At 37.4% G+C, this 17,401-nt stretch overlaps 1 annotated feature.

Moving 5' to 3' along the window:
• Positions 10,816–12,115: an enhancer, noted in NCBI's record as "VISTA enhancer hs1467". NCBI's record gives its function as "enhancer in: limb[5/9]" and the evidence as "EXISTENCE:transgenic organism evidence [ECO:0001131][PMID:17130149]".

Genomic DNA, 17,401 nt, shown 5'->3' on the forward strand with positions numbered 1-17,401 from the left:
TAATTGAGACTAGGGAGCAAAACAAACAAATTATGCAAGTTGTAGCATATGGGGGAACTGTGCATCTGGCTAGAGAAAAATGTTTATTTTGTTCAAATTAGTTCTCGACAGATAATGGAAGGCTTTGATGTCCAAGCTAACGAACTGAAAATGAAAGTAGTCATTTCTATCTTCTTAAAGTTTGATATGGTTTGGCTGTGTCCCTACCCAAGTCTCATCTTGAATTGTTGTTCCCATAATCCCCATGTGTCATGGGATGGACCCTGTGGGAGGTAATTGAATCATGGGGGTGGTTACCCTCATGCTGTTCTCAAGATAGTGAGTTATCACGAGATCTGATGATTTTATAAGGGGCTCTTCCTCCTTTTTCTTGGCACTTCTCCTTGCTGCTGCCATGTGAAGAAGGACGTGTTTGCTTCCCCTTCTGCCATGTTTGTAAGTTTCCTGAGGCCTCCTCAGCCATGCTGAACTGTGAGTCAATCAAACCTCTTTCCTTTGTAAATTACCCAGGCTCGCGTATGTCTTTATCAGCAGCATGAGTACAGACTAATACCATGTTCTTAGAGAACCTTGTCTAATTACAATATTCTATGATCCTGGATGTCATACAAATCCCTGGTTTTTAAAGTCTGAATAGTTTTCTCCCACAACTTGTTTTAAAGAGTGAGGACATACTGGGCACCTGATTCTGAAAACACCTCATTCATAATAACACACTACCTATGTGAGATAAAAATGTAAATGAGCTGACTATGTTTTTTTATTTTGTTCTGTTTTGGTGCTACTAAAAGGCTATTCTTAAAACTGTTTATGTACATGAACAAATGTTTAAATTTGGTGAAAGTTCTGCCTGTTCAAAAGTGTTGGAAGAAAACTCCATCTCATCACAAGGGTCACATGTGGAGTAAGGTTTTGAATTTGGCTGCTCATCTTCCATTACCTGGCTAATGGGAAATTATGTAAGGTCTGGAAGATATTTTGGAAGCCTCTTCTATGTGTGGCCCTGAAATACTTTTGGGGAACTCAACAAATGCCTGTTGAAAGAAGAAAGTAACAACACAAATTAGGGTAAGCAAATTATGTGAATAATTCTTAGGACCTTTGTGTAATATCAAAGTTTAGATTTATCAATTATGGCAAAATTGCTTTGGGGGTGAAACTGAGAAAACAATTAAAAAGGGGAAAAATGTTGCTAGGCTGTGTATTGGACAAAATTGTGCTGCCACATCTGTCCAACGGAAACCCAATCTTGGAATTACTGTTGTACATAAAATGAAGACAATAACATTTAATTACTTGGCTAAAAGAAAATGCCACAGCATGGGAAAATAAAACTTCTCAAAATAAGGATCAGATTAAAACTGTGGGCTCTCACCTACTGCTTCAGTGGCTCCTGTGAGCTCCGACAGCTTTCAAATTGCTTAAATAGTTAGTAAGGTGATTGTAACATTGACCAGTAAATGACATAAATCTAGAATTAATTATAAGGACTTAAGTAAGCAACAAGAAAGGGGTTCACTGGATCCAGGTTTCTTGTGAAATGTCGGCATTAATGAAATTTTAATCAGTTTGTTTATCTAAGGAAGAATTATTTGCATATCATATTGCAGAAAATATAGTACTATAGTAAAGTTACCTGACTTTAGACTATTATTTAAGTGAATCACTTGTATCTTAATTTTCTTAGACAATTTATAGTCTTTGGTTTTTATCAGGCCTGTGTCCAACTTGTCACGTTGACTGAAATTAAGCAATACTTAATGAGATCTCTCATGGGACCTCTCTCATATTTTACAGAACTGCCCATCTTTCTCATCTCCACACCTCCTGAAATGTCATTCTTCCATCTAATTTGGAGTAAGTTGTTATTTATGGATTGTTTTAAATTTATGAAGTGGTGAGGGGTGTTATAGTTAGCTGGATGTCCCTGTGAAGTTCCACAGATCAGTGGTGAAGCCATCCATTTACCAATTGACTTTTAACCTTCTCTAGCTGACAAAATGTGATTTATTTTCGTGCAAAGAAAATGAGCTAAATGTTTGACTATAGCCAGGTTTTTTCTTGTAGCCTGAGTATATTGCACCTGAAAATCAGCTATTTCCTCAAAATATAACATAGATCAAGGTTAGTGTTTTCCATGAAAGAAACCATAGGACATTAATGGTTACAGGTGGAATATGTATTTTTATTGCACTTTATGTTGGTAATTTCCAAATCAGTTTCCATCTTGGAATAATTGTTTTATATGCACATTATAACCTACAACAGTACTAAGATTTTCTTCACTACCAAAATTTATTGTCTTCCGGAGCTTATCCTGAAGCTTAGTATAAGTAGCATTCAAATAGAAATGAGATAGAGTAAAAGAGATTTGCTTCGTGAGAACGGAAGTCTATATATGGGATTAAAAGTTATATAAATTATTATTTGAGCAAGGATTTATTGAAACCTCCAAACTCACTTACCATTGTACCAATATTGTTTTATTAAGAATCCAAGATTGTACAATGTTAGCATATTTGAATGCTTAATGGATCCTGGGCACTGTTGTAAATGCTTTATGTGGCTTATTTCCTATTTAGTCCTTTTGACAACTTTATGAGATAGGTGCAATTACTATGCAAATTATAAAGAGGGATAAACTGAGGCCTTAAGAGTCAAAAACAGTCTGGAGGTACGACCACTAGGAAGTAGCATGCTGTATGAATAATTTTTTTTTTTTCAATACTTTGCTTTGACATGCTGGAGCCTTGCAGACCCAGGGAGGGACTGCACCTTAGAGGGCTAGCTTAGCTAGTAACTAGAGATAGCAAACAACTTGCTTGTGTGCACACCTTTGATATGCAAACAAACCAATCCAGAGTCTATAATTTAACCACCTCCTTTATCAAACTTTCACACACTAAGTCAACATTCCCTCTGACATAAATTACCCCAGAGGCAGGTGCTGGACAACTAGTGACCACTCCCATAGCCCATGGCCTGCCAAAATTATTCAAACTCTCCAATCCTAAGCCTGCTCAACTGCTTCGCCTGCCTCAGCCTTCCTTTCTGTGGAAATCACAATAAAGGCTCGGGCCCATGCTTTCCCCCTACTCCTTCTGCCTCCTGACTGACCCTGGGGCTTCGCCATATAGCTGCACATGGTATGGAGTGTCCCTTCTTGTGAGAACTATGAGAAACAAAGTATATTTTTAATGGCAACTGTCTCCTGACCTGTTGGCCTCTCCATACCTGAATTAAAACAAAAAGTCTAAGTACACTTTACAAAATGTACCCGGAGTTGAGCCAAGGCCCTTTGGCTGCACATCCCCTTCCTCTTTTTAACCCCAAGGATATTCTTCTTCCTCCCTTCCTTCTTCCATCTTCCCTCTCCATCTTCTCTTCTTCTCCTCTTCTTTATTTTTTTCTTTTCTTCTTATTCTTTCTTCCTCTTTTCTTGTCTTCTTCCTTCTCATCCTCCTATTCCTCTTCTTCCTTTTCCTTCTCTTCTTTCTCTCCTTCTCCTTCTTCTCCTTATTTTCCTTCTCCTTCTCCTCCTTCTCTTCTTTTTCTCCTTCCTTCTCCTCCTCCACCTTCTTCTCCTTCTCCTCCTTCTCCTTCTTCTTTTCTTCTTCCAATTTGCTTTTAATTTAAAAACTGAGATTTACATGAAGTCATAGAAATGCACAAGGAGGTTTTATGCACCCTTCACCCAGCCTCCCCCAAAGTCTACACCTTGCCTAACTAGAATACAATTTAACAACTAGGAAATTGACAGTGGTACAATCCACAGAACTTATTCTTGTTTTATTAGTTATACAGGCACTTGTGTGTATGTGTAGCTCCTTGCAATTTTATCATGCATGTAGCTTCTATAACCACTACCACAATCAAGATATTCCACTATGCCAGCATCACAAGCTTTCTTCCCATTACCCCTATATAGACATGCCTACTTATCTCCATTCTTAATCCTCTGGCCCCAGGAAACAACTGATTTGTTCTTCATATTTACAAAATGTTATTTCACAATGTTATATAAATGGAATGATGCAGTATGTATCCTTTCGAGATTGGCTTTTTTTCACCGTTCTCATTTCCTTAAGGTTAATCCAAAGTGTTGCACTCATTTCCTTTCATTGTTGAGTAATATTCAATAGTAATAATAATCCATCCATTGAAGGACATCTGGATAGTTTCCAGTTTGGGGGTGTAATAAATAAATCCGCTATGAACATTTGTGTATAAGTTTCTATATGATACATTGATATTCGCAAGGAAAACACAACTCCTGTTATCCACACTCTGGTATTGCCCTTTCCCCTTGAATTTGGAGATCTCTTTGAATCATATTAGCCAAGGGAAGGCAGCAGCAGTGACCCTGTGCCAGTTTGGAGCCTAAGCCTTAAGAAGCTTCTCTTCTGGCTTTTTGGAAGTCAACTTTCCTGATAACCCAATCCTGTAAGGAAACCCAAGCTAGCCACACAGAGAGATTTAAGGGAGAAGAACCAAGCAAGCCAGACATAAGTATGAACCAAAGCTACTGGGTCACAGACACAGCTGAGTCCCAGGGAACAGTCATTATCAACCTGCTGTTGAAAGTTGAAGCCATCTTTAAAGCATATCCTTAAGCCATTCCAGGTGATCTCATTGAAGCAAACAAGTTATGTTTGCAAAATAGTGACCAAATAGCAAAATCATGAGTACATAAATAGAATAGTTATCATTTTAAATCACTAAGTTTGTAGAAGGTTTGTCACACAGCAATACATAATGGGAATGGAAATAACACATCCTGGTATATAGTAGGTCCTTGGCACATGCTAGTTTTTTCATTAATTTGCTAAAATTCCAGGCTCTTATTTTAAATAAATAGTTATTGACTACATGCAATTAAATAGGTAAAGTGCAACGATGTATATTACTTGTAGCATAAACATATCTGGTACCTGAATAGTCCAGAAATGCTATGGATCAGGAATCACAGGAGCTAAGATCAGTTTATAGCTCTAACACTACCAGGCTTTGAACATGACATATCATGGACAATTATTAGAATCAGAAAAAACAACTGCTATAAAATCATTTTATATGTTGTAAAGCACTAAACAAATATAGGGTATTCTGAAGTGACTTGCCAACAATGTAGTTGTTGGTTGATAAATAAACATTAATACAAATAAAACACATATGCCCATTATATTTAAGGAGCATTGAATTTATACCACCACCATAGTGTGTTTACATATTATACAGCAAGTGTTATAATTTCAATAATTTGGGACCTGACAACATCTGATATAGAGGCAGACATGTCTTTTCAGAATTTGTTTCTAAGCTATTATTGGCTTTCTTTCATCATTTAGCCCAAATTAAGTGTTGGTTAATGTGGTTACATTTTACTGGAGCTACTAAAATAAGGTTACATAAAGCAGAAGATGGAAATAAAAGTTTACAACAAGCTTCATTCTGCTTTGTTTCTTTGAAGCTCAGTGGAAAGTATGACAGCATTGCACATTCAAGTCTTTGCATAGTAGTAAGCAAAAAATAATAATAATAATTATAAAGAACATAACAAGCTGGAAGGAAAAAGAAAAACAAGCCAGAACAAATTCTAGCTGTTGATGATTTCCTAAGGAGATCCCCCTTCATGGTGCATGAAGAAAAGCATCATAAATTGTGTCCAAAATCATGTTTTCTTTTTGTCTGAAACCTGGAAAATTCAAAAAGTAAGTTTCTTTGGATTTATGCTGCCCTAGATAACCAATTTGTGGCCAATTTTTCTTCTCACCTAATTTTTCAGTTGTTTTGGGATAGGTTACTCTTCACATGTATTTGACGATCCTCCAAGTTGATTAAAAGCAAGACAGAGACAGAGCACAAGTAAAGGCCTTCAGTCTCATTTAGTATAAAATTCATTTCAGAAAAGCATGGCTACAAAACATAGCTGAATGAAGAAAGACATTAGGAAAATTTTTAAAAAGCTGCCATACATATGCTATTTGGGGAATTTCCCAGTGTTTGGCCCATCGCTAGGTCCATTTCTCCTTTATATGCATTCTTCTGCCAAATTACACAGTATAAAATTGCTTTTGTTTGGATCTTGGCCTGCAACTTAAAGTGTCTTTGAGAAGACTTAAAGCTAGAATTTATTTTTCTAATATATATTGATAGTAAAAATGAGATTGTAGTGGAGGACAAGAGGTTTAAGAAAAATATTTGAATCTGAATTAGAAAATTTCAAATTCATTGCTCAGTGGAGAATACTTTAAAAACAGTTCAATTACAAAGCGCTTAATCACCAGTTTATCTATGCTACACCTATATTAATCAAGCAATCTTCTAAACATAAATTGCGTCAAATGAGAAAAGCTAAATGGTTAACTAATCAAATATGTTTATAACTTTGACCAAAAGGCTCTGGGTGGCATATAATTAGATATGGGAATTAGAGGTGATGGTGATAATTGATTCATTGCCTGAGCTTTCCACCTTTAAAATTTATTTTTGCATACGTAGGCCTTACAACTAAATCACAGTTTCGCCATCTTTGTCAGAAAAATAAATGTCTCAAATGACTATATTTTTAAAAAATACAAATAATGGTGAAACTGAGGTGGTGAACGTTTAAAATGCAACAATTTTTTTTTTTTTTTTTTTGAGACAGATTCTTGCTCAGTCGCCCAGGTTGGAGTGCAGTGGCGCGATCTCAGCTCACTGCAAGCTCCACCTCCTGGGTTCACACCATTCTCCTGCCTCAGCCTCCTGAGTAGCTAGGACTACAGGTGCCCACGACCATGCCCAGCTAATTTTTTTGGTATTTTTAGTAGAGACGGGGTTTCACCGTGTTAGCCAGGATGGTCTCGATCTCCTGACCTCGTGATCCACCTGCCTTGGCCTCCCAAAGTGCTGGGATTACAGGCGTGAGCCACCATGCCCGGCCAATATTTTACTTACAGGTTTACAAATCTAATACATTGTGAATATAAACTTGACTTCGATTTTTTTAAAAAGTTCTTCTAGATTTAAGATATATATTTAAGAGTAGTCTAGATTGCTCTTGGATCATATGCTCCTTAGATACTAACTACTTGTACACACAATATTACATATAGTATATTGGTACAGAGAGTTTATGTGAGCACTTGGCAACAAAATAGTCAAAATTTAGATATGTTTATTTAACTTAATGAGACTATTTAGTTGGAAAAAGAAAGCAACTTTTGAAGAGTAAAAATTGTTTTGGATTAACTATTTAAATACATTTTTAATGAGTTATAATATTTTCACACATGGTTTTTGATCATAAATATTATGGCTAGATAGTCTGTTCTGTTCCTAAGATTATTTAAAAACTAAAACTAAAACAATCAGATGAGCAAACAAAAAAACTATACACCAGTATTTTCTTCTAATCCTTTTGTATTTTTACTTTCTACCATTTAAATTATTTAACGTGCAAGTTAACTTTATGTGACTTCAGTTATTTTTTATTCCTATTCTAACCAAATTTCTAATTTTATATTCAAATAAAACACAATGTTTTTAAGAATTTGAAATACTACTTCTACTACAAACCATATAACTTTATCAAATACCACTTTTGCCACATAACATCTTTTCAGCTCATCTTCCGAGCTGAAAAGGCAGCTGACTGTAATAGGAATGGCAACTTGGCTGAAAACAGAAATCTCTCCCTTTCAGCCCCAGCTCTTTTTCTGCCACAATTGTAGGATTATTGGTGAAACCACTCAGCCACTGTGACACATGCACAAATCTAGACACGCAAGTGAATTAATACCCTTGATCAAAGGCAATCCCAGACCAATGTTGTACAGGAGACTTTGGATAAATAAATACACCACTCTTCTGTTCCCCAATGGAGAAGATGTATGCTACATGGCTCCTTAGAGTGTCATTAGTGAGACCAAGCCCCAGTTGTCCATTGAGTTACCAGTTAAGTAAGAGATCTTAAGACTGCATTTTCCTCTTTTCTTGTTCCGGTCTTCCAAGTTCCCTGCTCTTATTCTTTGGAATAATTCCCTACATGCCAGAAGCTATCTGGATTCAAGCCTTTATCTCAGCCTCTGATTTTAGAGTAAACCCTAGCTAAGGAATAAATCATCATTTATTCTCATTTCTATTTATTTCTTCTATTCTATACCAGTTATATACCCTTTCATGGTTTTATTACATATTTTAGTATCTGGTAAGACCACTTTACTTATGTTATTGTTTTCAAACAACCCTAGGCTGCTTTCATAAATGTATTTTCCCAGTTAACTTTGAACCACTTTGGCAATTTCAAAGTTCTATTAATTTTTCAGATTAGAAATTAATTATAAACTTTTATCCAATTTCACACTTCTCCAATTACCAGCTGTAAGGAGTCATGTTTTTTTTTCTTCTTTAAGCCCTAATATCCTCTTTTATGAAATAAGCAAAATAATTCCTTCAAGTTAATATGCATAGTAAGTGAGATATACACACACATATACACACACGAACACATATAAAATCATCATACAGTGGCTGACACATAGTAGACACTAAGCACTCAATCAATGGCTGGTATATACATGTCTACACGGATGTCATTACAATATTGAGTCTCATAATCTAGAAACATAGCATATCATTTCATTAGTAGAAGTAAACCTCATATCCTATAGTAAAAAATAATGTTTTTTTAAAATCAGTGCCACCTTTTTTTTTTTTTTTGCCGTAAATCTTTTAAAGCTTTTTCTAAAAATATTTGATTGGCAGTTTTGAATAGGATAATTTTAATTTTATTTTCTAACTACTTAAAACTAATAGTTTATGTTTAGTAGGCACTTCCATGGGAAGTACATTGCTGAATGCTTTATGTTTGCGATTTCAATTGTTTTCACAATTGTTTGACATGGGAAATATTATTAACTTCAATTTACAGATGAAGAAGTAGACACCAAAAGGCTGAGAATATTTCTTCAGCTGGTGAATGACTAATCCCAAATTCAATTCAGGGTTAACCTTGATTTTTAGGAAAACAATTGATGTGTCTATATTGTTGTTATAGCCAGCCATCGACTACTTATGCTTGTTACTTCTAGTTATGTCTCCTTGATTCTCCTGCTTTTTTTTTTTTAAAAGGTAATCATGTTAACTCTAACTACCGAGAATCTTGCTTCCTCTTTTCTAATATTTATTTTTCTAATACATTTCTGAACAAATATAGTTTTGGTGAATTAAAAGCAATAATTTTTAAGTTCATGTTAAAATTTGTTAACAGAAATAAAAGTCAAGTACCCTTGGGACAGAGTGTCCTCCACATTTCCAAATCTAAAATATTTTGTTAAGTTTGTTTGCCAAACCCTGAACACCTAGAGGCTCTCCATCTTTTTTTAAAAATAGGATACTACTGCCACCATATAATTGTCCTAACCTCATCTTGTAGACATTCTCTGACGCTCGGTTTTAAAAGGCAAACTCTAAGACACCCAGGAGCATGTGGCAGGGAAAGGTGTTTGGGGTTCAGGTTAACCACCTTTCCCACCCAGGACACCACATTTGGCTCAAAGCTTCCCTCCAGATGCCTGACACAAACCAAAAAACAGGAGTCTGGAGTCCAAGTTCTGAGTGAGCAGTTTAATTTTCAAAGGGCACATAGCTAAGAGGCGACTTAAATTTTCCAATAAGTTCTTCAGCTTCTCTTTTCATCACATTCACAGATTGGGGCATTGAAATTGAGGCCTTCCATGGTGGTAACTTTTTGAAACAAAACTTGCTTATTTTCCAGACCCAAGGCATTGAGCTAATAGGTCTATCTTCGTCCCCGCGGAACCTGCCGCGAGCCAGGGAGAGCAAAGAACAGCTACCAAATGTAGATCAAGAGAAGACCTGCCCTTGCATGCACCCACACAAAAGAGAGAAACAACACCAGCATGAGAAGATTCCAACCAGTCATCAAGGTCATTCTATGGTTGGTTTGTTGAATGATTTTCCCAGGTGACTCAATTCATGTTGATTAATGGTGGTGCCAGAATCTTTGTTACACATATTTCCAAGATGTTCTAGGGTGTTATCTCAAAGCCCTTTCTCAAACTTGTGTGATAAATGTTTCTACAACATTGAGAAAGTTAAATGAACTTACGCAGAAATTTTGAAATATTAATAGAAAAAGAGTTGGTTTTTTTTTTTGCATTAAACTTTGACGAGAGACATGAGACAAGAATAGTATCATAAGAACCTCTCCCCATAAAAAAATGATTGTGAGGTGTGTATATATATATATGTATGTATATCAGATCCTTAAACATATGTATGTGCACAGACTAATGATCCTTAAATCATTAGTGAGTATACATACATATGTTTACGTGTGGAATGTGTATGTGTATATATATATAATTCTAGCACAGAAAACAATACCATAAAACCATAATGCCATAATAGGCCATCATTTGTTAGTCTTGAAATAAACAATGAATATCAACTCTGCCCTACATGACTACAATCCCTCTATGATAGGAAAATCTATGATTTACAAACAACTGTGGGTAACAATGGAGCAGTTTCTGTATATACAACCAAAGGCCAATGGTGGAACTAACCACTTAACTCTTTTTCTGAGAATTCCAAGACTAGGAACTATAGTTGTGTAAGCATAAATAAATTATCTGTCCACTAAATTAAGTAAAATACTAATTCTTTCTCCAACGTAGTGGTCTGAGCTCTATCTAAAAGGATAATATAATAAGAGATCAGAAAAGATATCCAGAATAAAATAAATAAAAAATAAAATAAATAAATAAAAAACCAGGAAGGCCGCAGGGGGAAAATACCAGGTATATAGAACAGGAAGCTATGTGACCAGTTTAAGAGATGTGTACGTATGGGAAAGAGATGAAATTCAAGCAGCAATGTGATTTTTATAAGGAAAATGATTTTTAAAATAAGCAAAATATAGAAGTAGCTGATCTTGGCTTAAGGGATGACAGAAGGCCAAAATTAAATAGCATTTCATTAGCCTTTTAAATGGAGTGACTCCATAAATGAGTGTTTTAAAAACATAGACATCAAATTAACCCAACTACTGAAACTGACAGTTGAAGAACCATTAATCTTGGAAGGGATATTTCCCTTTAGGCTTCTGGAACAGATCCTTAAATCGTTAGTGTGTGCACATACATATGTTTATGCGTGCGATGTATATTCAGACACATGCTTAGACACCCACCTGGAATATTAAATTGACCTGCTTTCAACAATTGGCTAATGATTAGAACTCCCCGAAGGCAAGCGGAGGAAAGAGAATTTGTTGCTAAGAACAGGGACAGAGAGAAGTGGACAAGAGATGCTAGTATCCCCACCAAGTCCTCCCAGCCCCCTTGCATCTGCGGTTTCTCTCTCCCTGGGCCCTCCCTGCAGAGCTGCAGTTACCTGCGGAAATACCCAGGCTCCGCTCTGAGCACCAGGCTGTCTCCCGGAGTCCCTATGTAGCCAAGTGGAGCCGGAGGGTTGATCCCCTAGCCCCTACACACAGCCTTCCTTTCACCACCTTCCGTTTATACAAAGACTGGCTTATCCCAATTTTTTTTCCTGTTGCCTTTTCAATGAAAAGCTCTCCACGCGCGGCCTAATAAAATTCTACGCCTGCCCCACCCCCATCCCAAAAATCCCTGCCAAAAAAAAGAGAGAGGGGAGACTAAAACCTGGAACTCATTTAGCTAAAGGGACTTTAGTTAACAAGAAAGTTACCCATCATGAACTGCAGGTAACACCTCCCGTGATCCTAAATCCATTACCTGGAGACTTAGCCCAGGCTGAGTTTGATTTTATGAACTGTGAGGTTGCAATGTTGAAAGTCTGCAAATTGGACATAAATTGGACGCAAAAGACTGGGGGAGTCGAGTGATTTTCTTTCTAATGGTATAACAAGCTTTGGCTCTTACCAGAGATTCCTGTAATCTGGAGCAGAGACAAGGATGGGTGCCTGTATCAGTCACGCTCTCAATCCAAGATTTCCCCTCCTCCAAAAAGGTTTGACTCTGACTCGAGCAGCTCTATCTAGGGCAAAATCATATGTTACCATGTGAATTACTCATAATCGCACTGAAGTGTTTGACCAAGCAAGGAATGTCGTAACGTGCGTGCATGCATACACACACACACACATACACACACACACACACACACACCAGTGTATACCAGTCTAATTCAGGAATAGAAAATGGGTTCTCTCCTGCTTGTTGTCTCTTACCATCAACAATATCCTGTGATGTTTTTGACTGAAACACTTTTCAGCTGGCTTCCTTGGCATTCTTGTACAACTTTATTTTAGAGAGGATGGCGGATGTCATAACTAATTCAATCATCAGCTTCTGAGTTTTAAGGAACACAAAGGCTACCTTCAGATTGGGGTTACAGCCCCCTTTCAATTTAATTAAGTATTTGTTTAATGCTTATTTTGTAAAAGGATCTAAGGATGATCCAGAGATTAGAATCTGGGAAGGCTCACAGGTGTCATAACCGAAGTATAAGGCCAGGCATAACAAATTTCTAATAAAGATAAAATATGAAAATACAGAGGAAAGAAAGATAAAATCCAACCGGGGACTGGGAAAAAAATGTGAAAATCTGGGCTTCAAATATTTAATTGTGATTCAACAAATGGATAGTGGTGTTGGTTTGGGGTGGGGAGTAGAAATAGGTATCCCAAACAGAAGGAAGGATTTTAGAAAAAAACACAGCCTTGCAGCATAGCAAGACCTTGTCTCTATTAAAAAAATTAGCCGCCCAGGTGCGGTGGCTCACGCCTGTAATCCCAACACTTTGGGAGGCTGAGGTGGATGGAACACGAGGTCAGGAGTTCAAGACCAGCCTAGCCTAGATGGTGAAACCCCATCTCTACTAAAAATTCAAAAATTAGCCAGGCATGGTGGCGGGCACCTGTAATCCCAGCTACTCGGGAGGCTGAGGCAGAGAATTGCTTGAACCAGGGAGGCAGAGGTTGCAGTGAGCCGAGATTGTGCCATTGCACTCCAGCCTGGGTGACAGAGCAAGACTCCATCTCAAAAAAAGAAAAAAAAAAAATTAACCAGGCACAGTGATGCAAGTCTGTAGTCCCAGCTACTTGGAAGGCTGAGGCAGGGGGATTTCTTGAGCCTGGAAGTTCAAGGCTACAGTGGGTTATGCTTGTGCCACTGTACTCCAGCCTGGGTGACAGAGCAAGACTCTGTCTCAAAATAAAATAAAATACAAATAGAAAAAAACAGCAGAAGAAAAGTTCATGGAATGGCCATTTGAGTGGCATTGGCCTGGTCTACTATTCATAAGCGAAGAGAGAAACAATGGATAAAAACTTGCAGGTGGCATTACGAGCAAATCCAAATGCCAGGCTGAAAGTTTGGCCTCTACACATACGCAACAGTAGAAGTTTGGGGAACATTTTGAACATGGTAAGTGCACCATAGATCTGCATGAGTAAGTTTGCTCAAATCAACAGTAATAGCACACATTTAAGTGTCTCGAATTCTAATGATGGTATACTGTATAACGATTTAAGTGGAAGAAATAGGTTAAATATGTTTTTTAAAGTGAATACAAAAACAGTTATAAAAGTGTGTGTAGTAAACTATTATCAAATTTTTTAAACAAAATAGTTAAATATTCTTTATGGATTCACATGTATCAACTCCCCGATGGTAATTACCTACAGGGAAGTAGAAGGGAAAAGAGATATAGCTCTAGTGTTTTATTTACTTAAAAATAAACATTAAAAAGTAAAATTGGAACGCAAAGCAAATATGCCAAAATTTAACATCTCTTTTATGTGGGTATTGGGTATGCTCTTCCATAAGATTAAATATTTTATAATTTTTTTTAAATGCAAATTTTTCTATCTCCTTTTCTTTACACTCAGTGAGATGGTTTGGATCTGTGACCCCACCTAAATCTCTTGTCAAACTGTAATCCCCAGTGTTGGAGGTGGGGCCTGGTGGGAGGTGATTGGCTAGTGGCGGCAGTTTCTAATGGTTTATCACCATCCCCTTAGTGCTGTTCTCATGGCAGAGGTCTCACAAGATCTGGTTTTTAAAAGTGCGTAGCACTTCCCCTCTCTCTTCCTCCTGCTCTGGGCAAGTGAAGACGGGCCTGCTTCCCCTTGACCTTCCGACATGACTGTAAGTTTCCTGAGGTCTCCCCAGCCATGCTTCCTGTATAGCCTGCAGAACTGTAAGCCAAGTAAACCTATTTTCTTTATAAATTACCCTTATGTATTTATTTATAGCAGTGTGAGAATGGACTAATACACTCACCCAATACTTGAGCTCCATCTGAAGCTTCCTCATGTATTTTCTCAGAGTCTTGGGGAGTTTATCACATGTGCTCACTAATAACTGTGGTCATTCACCAGGAAGTGCTTCTCGTGTATTGCTACCTCCACAGGAAATGCCCCAGGGATGCTTTGCTGAGACTATCTCGGTATCTTGGTGGGTGTCAGGCAGGTAGTACAGTTTCCTTCTAGAAACTGTGCCTCACTCCCATCCAAGTACTAACCAGGCCTGGCCCTGCTGAGCTAGCAAGATCAGATGAGATCAGGTGCATTACTCCCATGTTTATTGCAGCACAATTCACAATAGCTAAAATGTGGAAGCAACCAAAGTGTCCATTGACAGATGAATGGATAAAGAAAATGTGGTACATATACACAATGGAGTACTATTCAACCATAAAAAGAATGAGATCCTGTCATTTGCAACAACATGGATGGAACCGGAGGATATTCTGTTAAGTGAAATCAGCCAGGCAAAGAAAGCCAACCTTCACATGTTCTCATTGGTGGGAGCTAAAAATTAAAACCACTGAACTCATGGAGACAGAGAATAGAATGACGTTTACCAGAGGCTGGGAAGGGTTGTGAGGTCGGGGGAATGGGGACAGTTAATGGGTACAAAAATAGAGTTAGATAGAATGAAGATCTAGTATCTGATAGCACAACACGGTGATTACAGTCAATAATAATTTATTGTAGATTTAAAAATAACTAAGCAAGTATAATTGGAATGTTTGTAACACAAAGAAGTGATAAATACCTAAGGTGATAGATAGCCCATTTACCCTGATGTGATTATTATGCATTGTATTCCTGTATCAAATTACCTCATGTGCCCCGTAAATATATACACCTACTATTAGCCATAACAATTTTTTTTTTTTAAATAGCAACTGTGCCTCACTGAATGTCAGTGCATCTCTACGGGGCAGTATGTGTCTCCTTCTTATCTCTGACAGCACTTCTGTCCAGAAAAATTCCTGCAGAGTATTCTTTATTCCCTACAGATGTTTCCACCCATACACTGAAATATATTTTGGGTCCAAAGTCTGCTGTAAGTGGCAGAGAAATGAGGGCTAGCAACCCTAATCCTTTTGTATTATCCACAGTTTGTAGGATACCAAAGTGATGGTTATCTTGCCCTTCAAGTATACAGGCTTTTTATAGGAAAATATTTCTTCTAGCTTTTAAGTCCATAGCTCTCTTCTGGATGAAGGCATTAAGTCCAGTAGAACAACTGTAGGCTCTGGGCTGAACTCAGAATCATCTCTCTGACAACTCAGGTTTTACTATTTGATCAAGCTTTACTTTTCAATTCTGTTTCCCTCAATATGAGTTTCTCCTAAGAGGCTTCCTAAGCCCACTTAGAGATAAATTTTTTGTCCCAACTTTCCACCAGTTTAAATGACATGCTCGGACATAGTTAAGACTCAAGTTGGATTCTCGAGGACACCGGGAGGTTTGTTCTGGCAGAAGCATGTGGAACAACCTGGGAACGGGAAGAGGCTGAAGTCAGGGAGAACAGAGAAGAAGAAAGCTACTGCAGGCACTCAGGCAAACTGTGATTGTTACGTGTAATCATGTTACAGCAGTCTTCTTTTGCTGATGTATTGGGGATGCTCTATGGAATATGTATTTTATATATGCATTGCAATGGCATTCTCTCTAGTACTTCAAGTCTGAAAACCAATATATGGAAAAACTGAGTCTCCATATAGGCTACCTCTAGGATACACTATAGTGAGTAAAGATAGTTAAAACCCTTAGAAACAGACTCTTCCTGTCTGTGTCCATGATCCTAAAACAAAAACTCTTGGGAAGATAAGAATGAATGAGGAAGTGTATGGGGGTGGGAAGAGTTAGATAATTAATTTTGCAAACACTCTATTAGTATTACCTTTAAATATGCTATTACATATTTAACATATATGCCCACTACCCACAACTACTGCCTATAAAACCAGCTGAGCAAAAGCCATCAAAGAAAAACAGCCATGAAACATGTTTAGATCAGGCCGCTTTCTCTCATCGTGTAGTAAAATATTGAGTTTGAGGCCGAGTGTGGTGGCTCATGCCTGTAATCCCATCACAGGAGTTTGAGACCAGCCTAGCCAACATAGTGAAACCCCTTTTCTACTAAAAATACCAAAATTACCCAGGAGTGGTGGCACACACATATAATCCCTGCTATTCAGGAGGCTGAGGCAGAAGAATCCCTTGAACCCAGGAGACAGAGGTTGCAGTGAGGCGAGACCATGCTATTGCACTCCAGCATGGGCAACAGAGTGGGACTTTGTCTCAAGAAAAAAAAAATTAGGTTTTGCATTGTAAAAGCAAAATGCCTTCAGATCTTATGAATGGAGTCTTGTTGATCTTAAATAGTTACTGGCATGGTTCAAAGGAGAATGAAGACAAGGAAAGGAATTAAGTGAAACTTCAATATTACCTTGAAGTAGATAAATAGCTTCATTCGACTTGTCCCCATTGTTACAAAAACTAATGGTTTAAGGTGAAGGCTATTTTTTTTTCAATTTCATTTAAAGATGAGTTAGGTATCCACAGTTTTGGATGTGCGCAGATTTTTGCCTGAAAATTTTGGAAGCCAGAGTATAACAGGAGAAAAAATAAATCACCACCAAATAGAATACAGCATTGCATAAATCTGAAAGTTCTCCACATTTTGTGAAGTGAGGGGTAAAAACCCTTGCTGAACAGAGCAACAAGAAAAACTAACCCAGAGTATGAATTTTCATATAGAGTAGGAAAGATAAGGATGGACAAGACAGGAACGTGTGGTTAATTCCAGTTTTAGGCATATTTATGTGGCTAGCATAGGCCAAACAACACTATGGCTTAATTCAGCTAATTGCTGTAGAGCAGAATATGAGAAAATATCTTTTCTAACGTTTTTAATTTGTCATTGCTACCACTACAAAAGCAACAAACTATTTCATAATGGTGATTTCACATCGTATACAATATCATTTTGGGGATGGACTCAGTTTCTAAGAAGCCCTGTTTTCTTTATCATCCTTAGAAAAAAACGGAAGAATTTCATCCACGTGGAACAAGAATAATCTTTACTCCTTTCTCTTTGACTTTAAC

Source organism: Homo sapiens, chromosome 17, assembly GCF_000001405.40.
Source record: "Homo sapiens chromosome 17, GRCh38.p14 Primary Assembly".
NCBI lineage: Eukaryota > Metazoa > Chordata > Mammalia > Primates > Hominidae > Homo > Homo sapiens.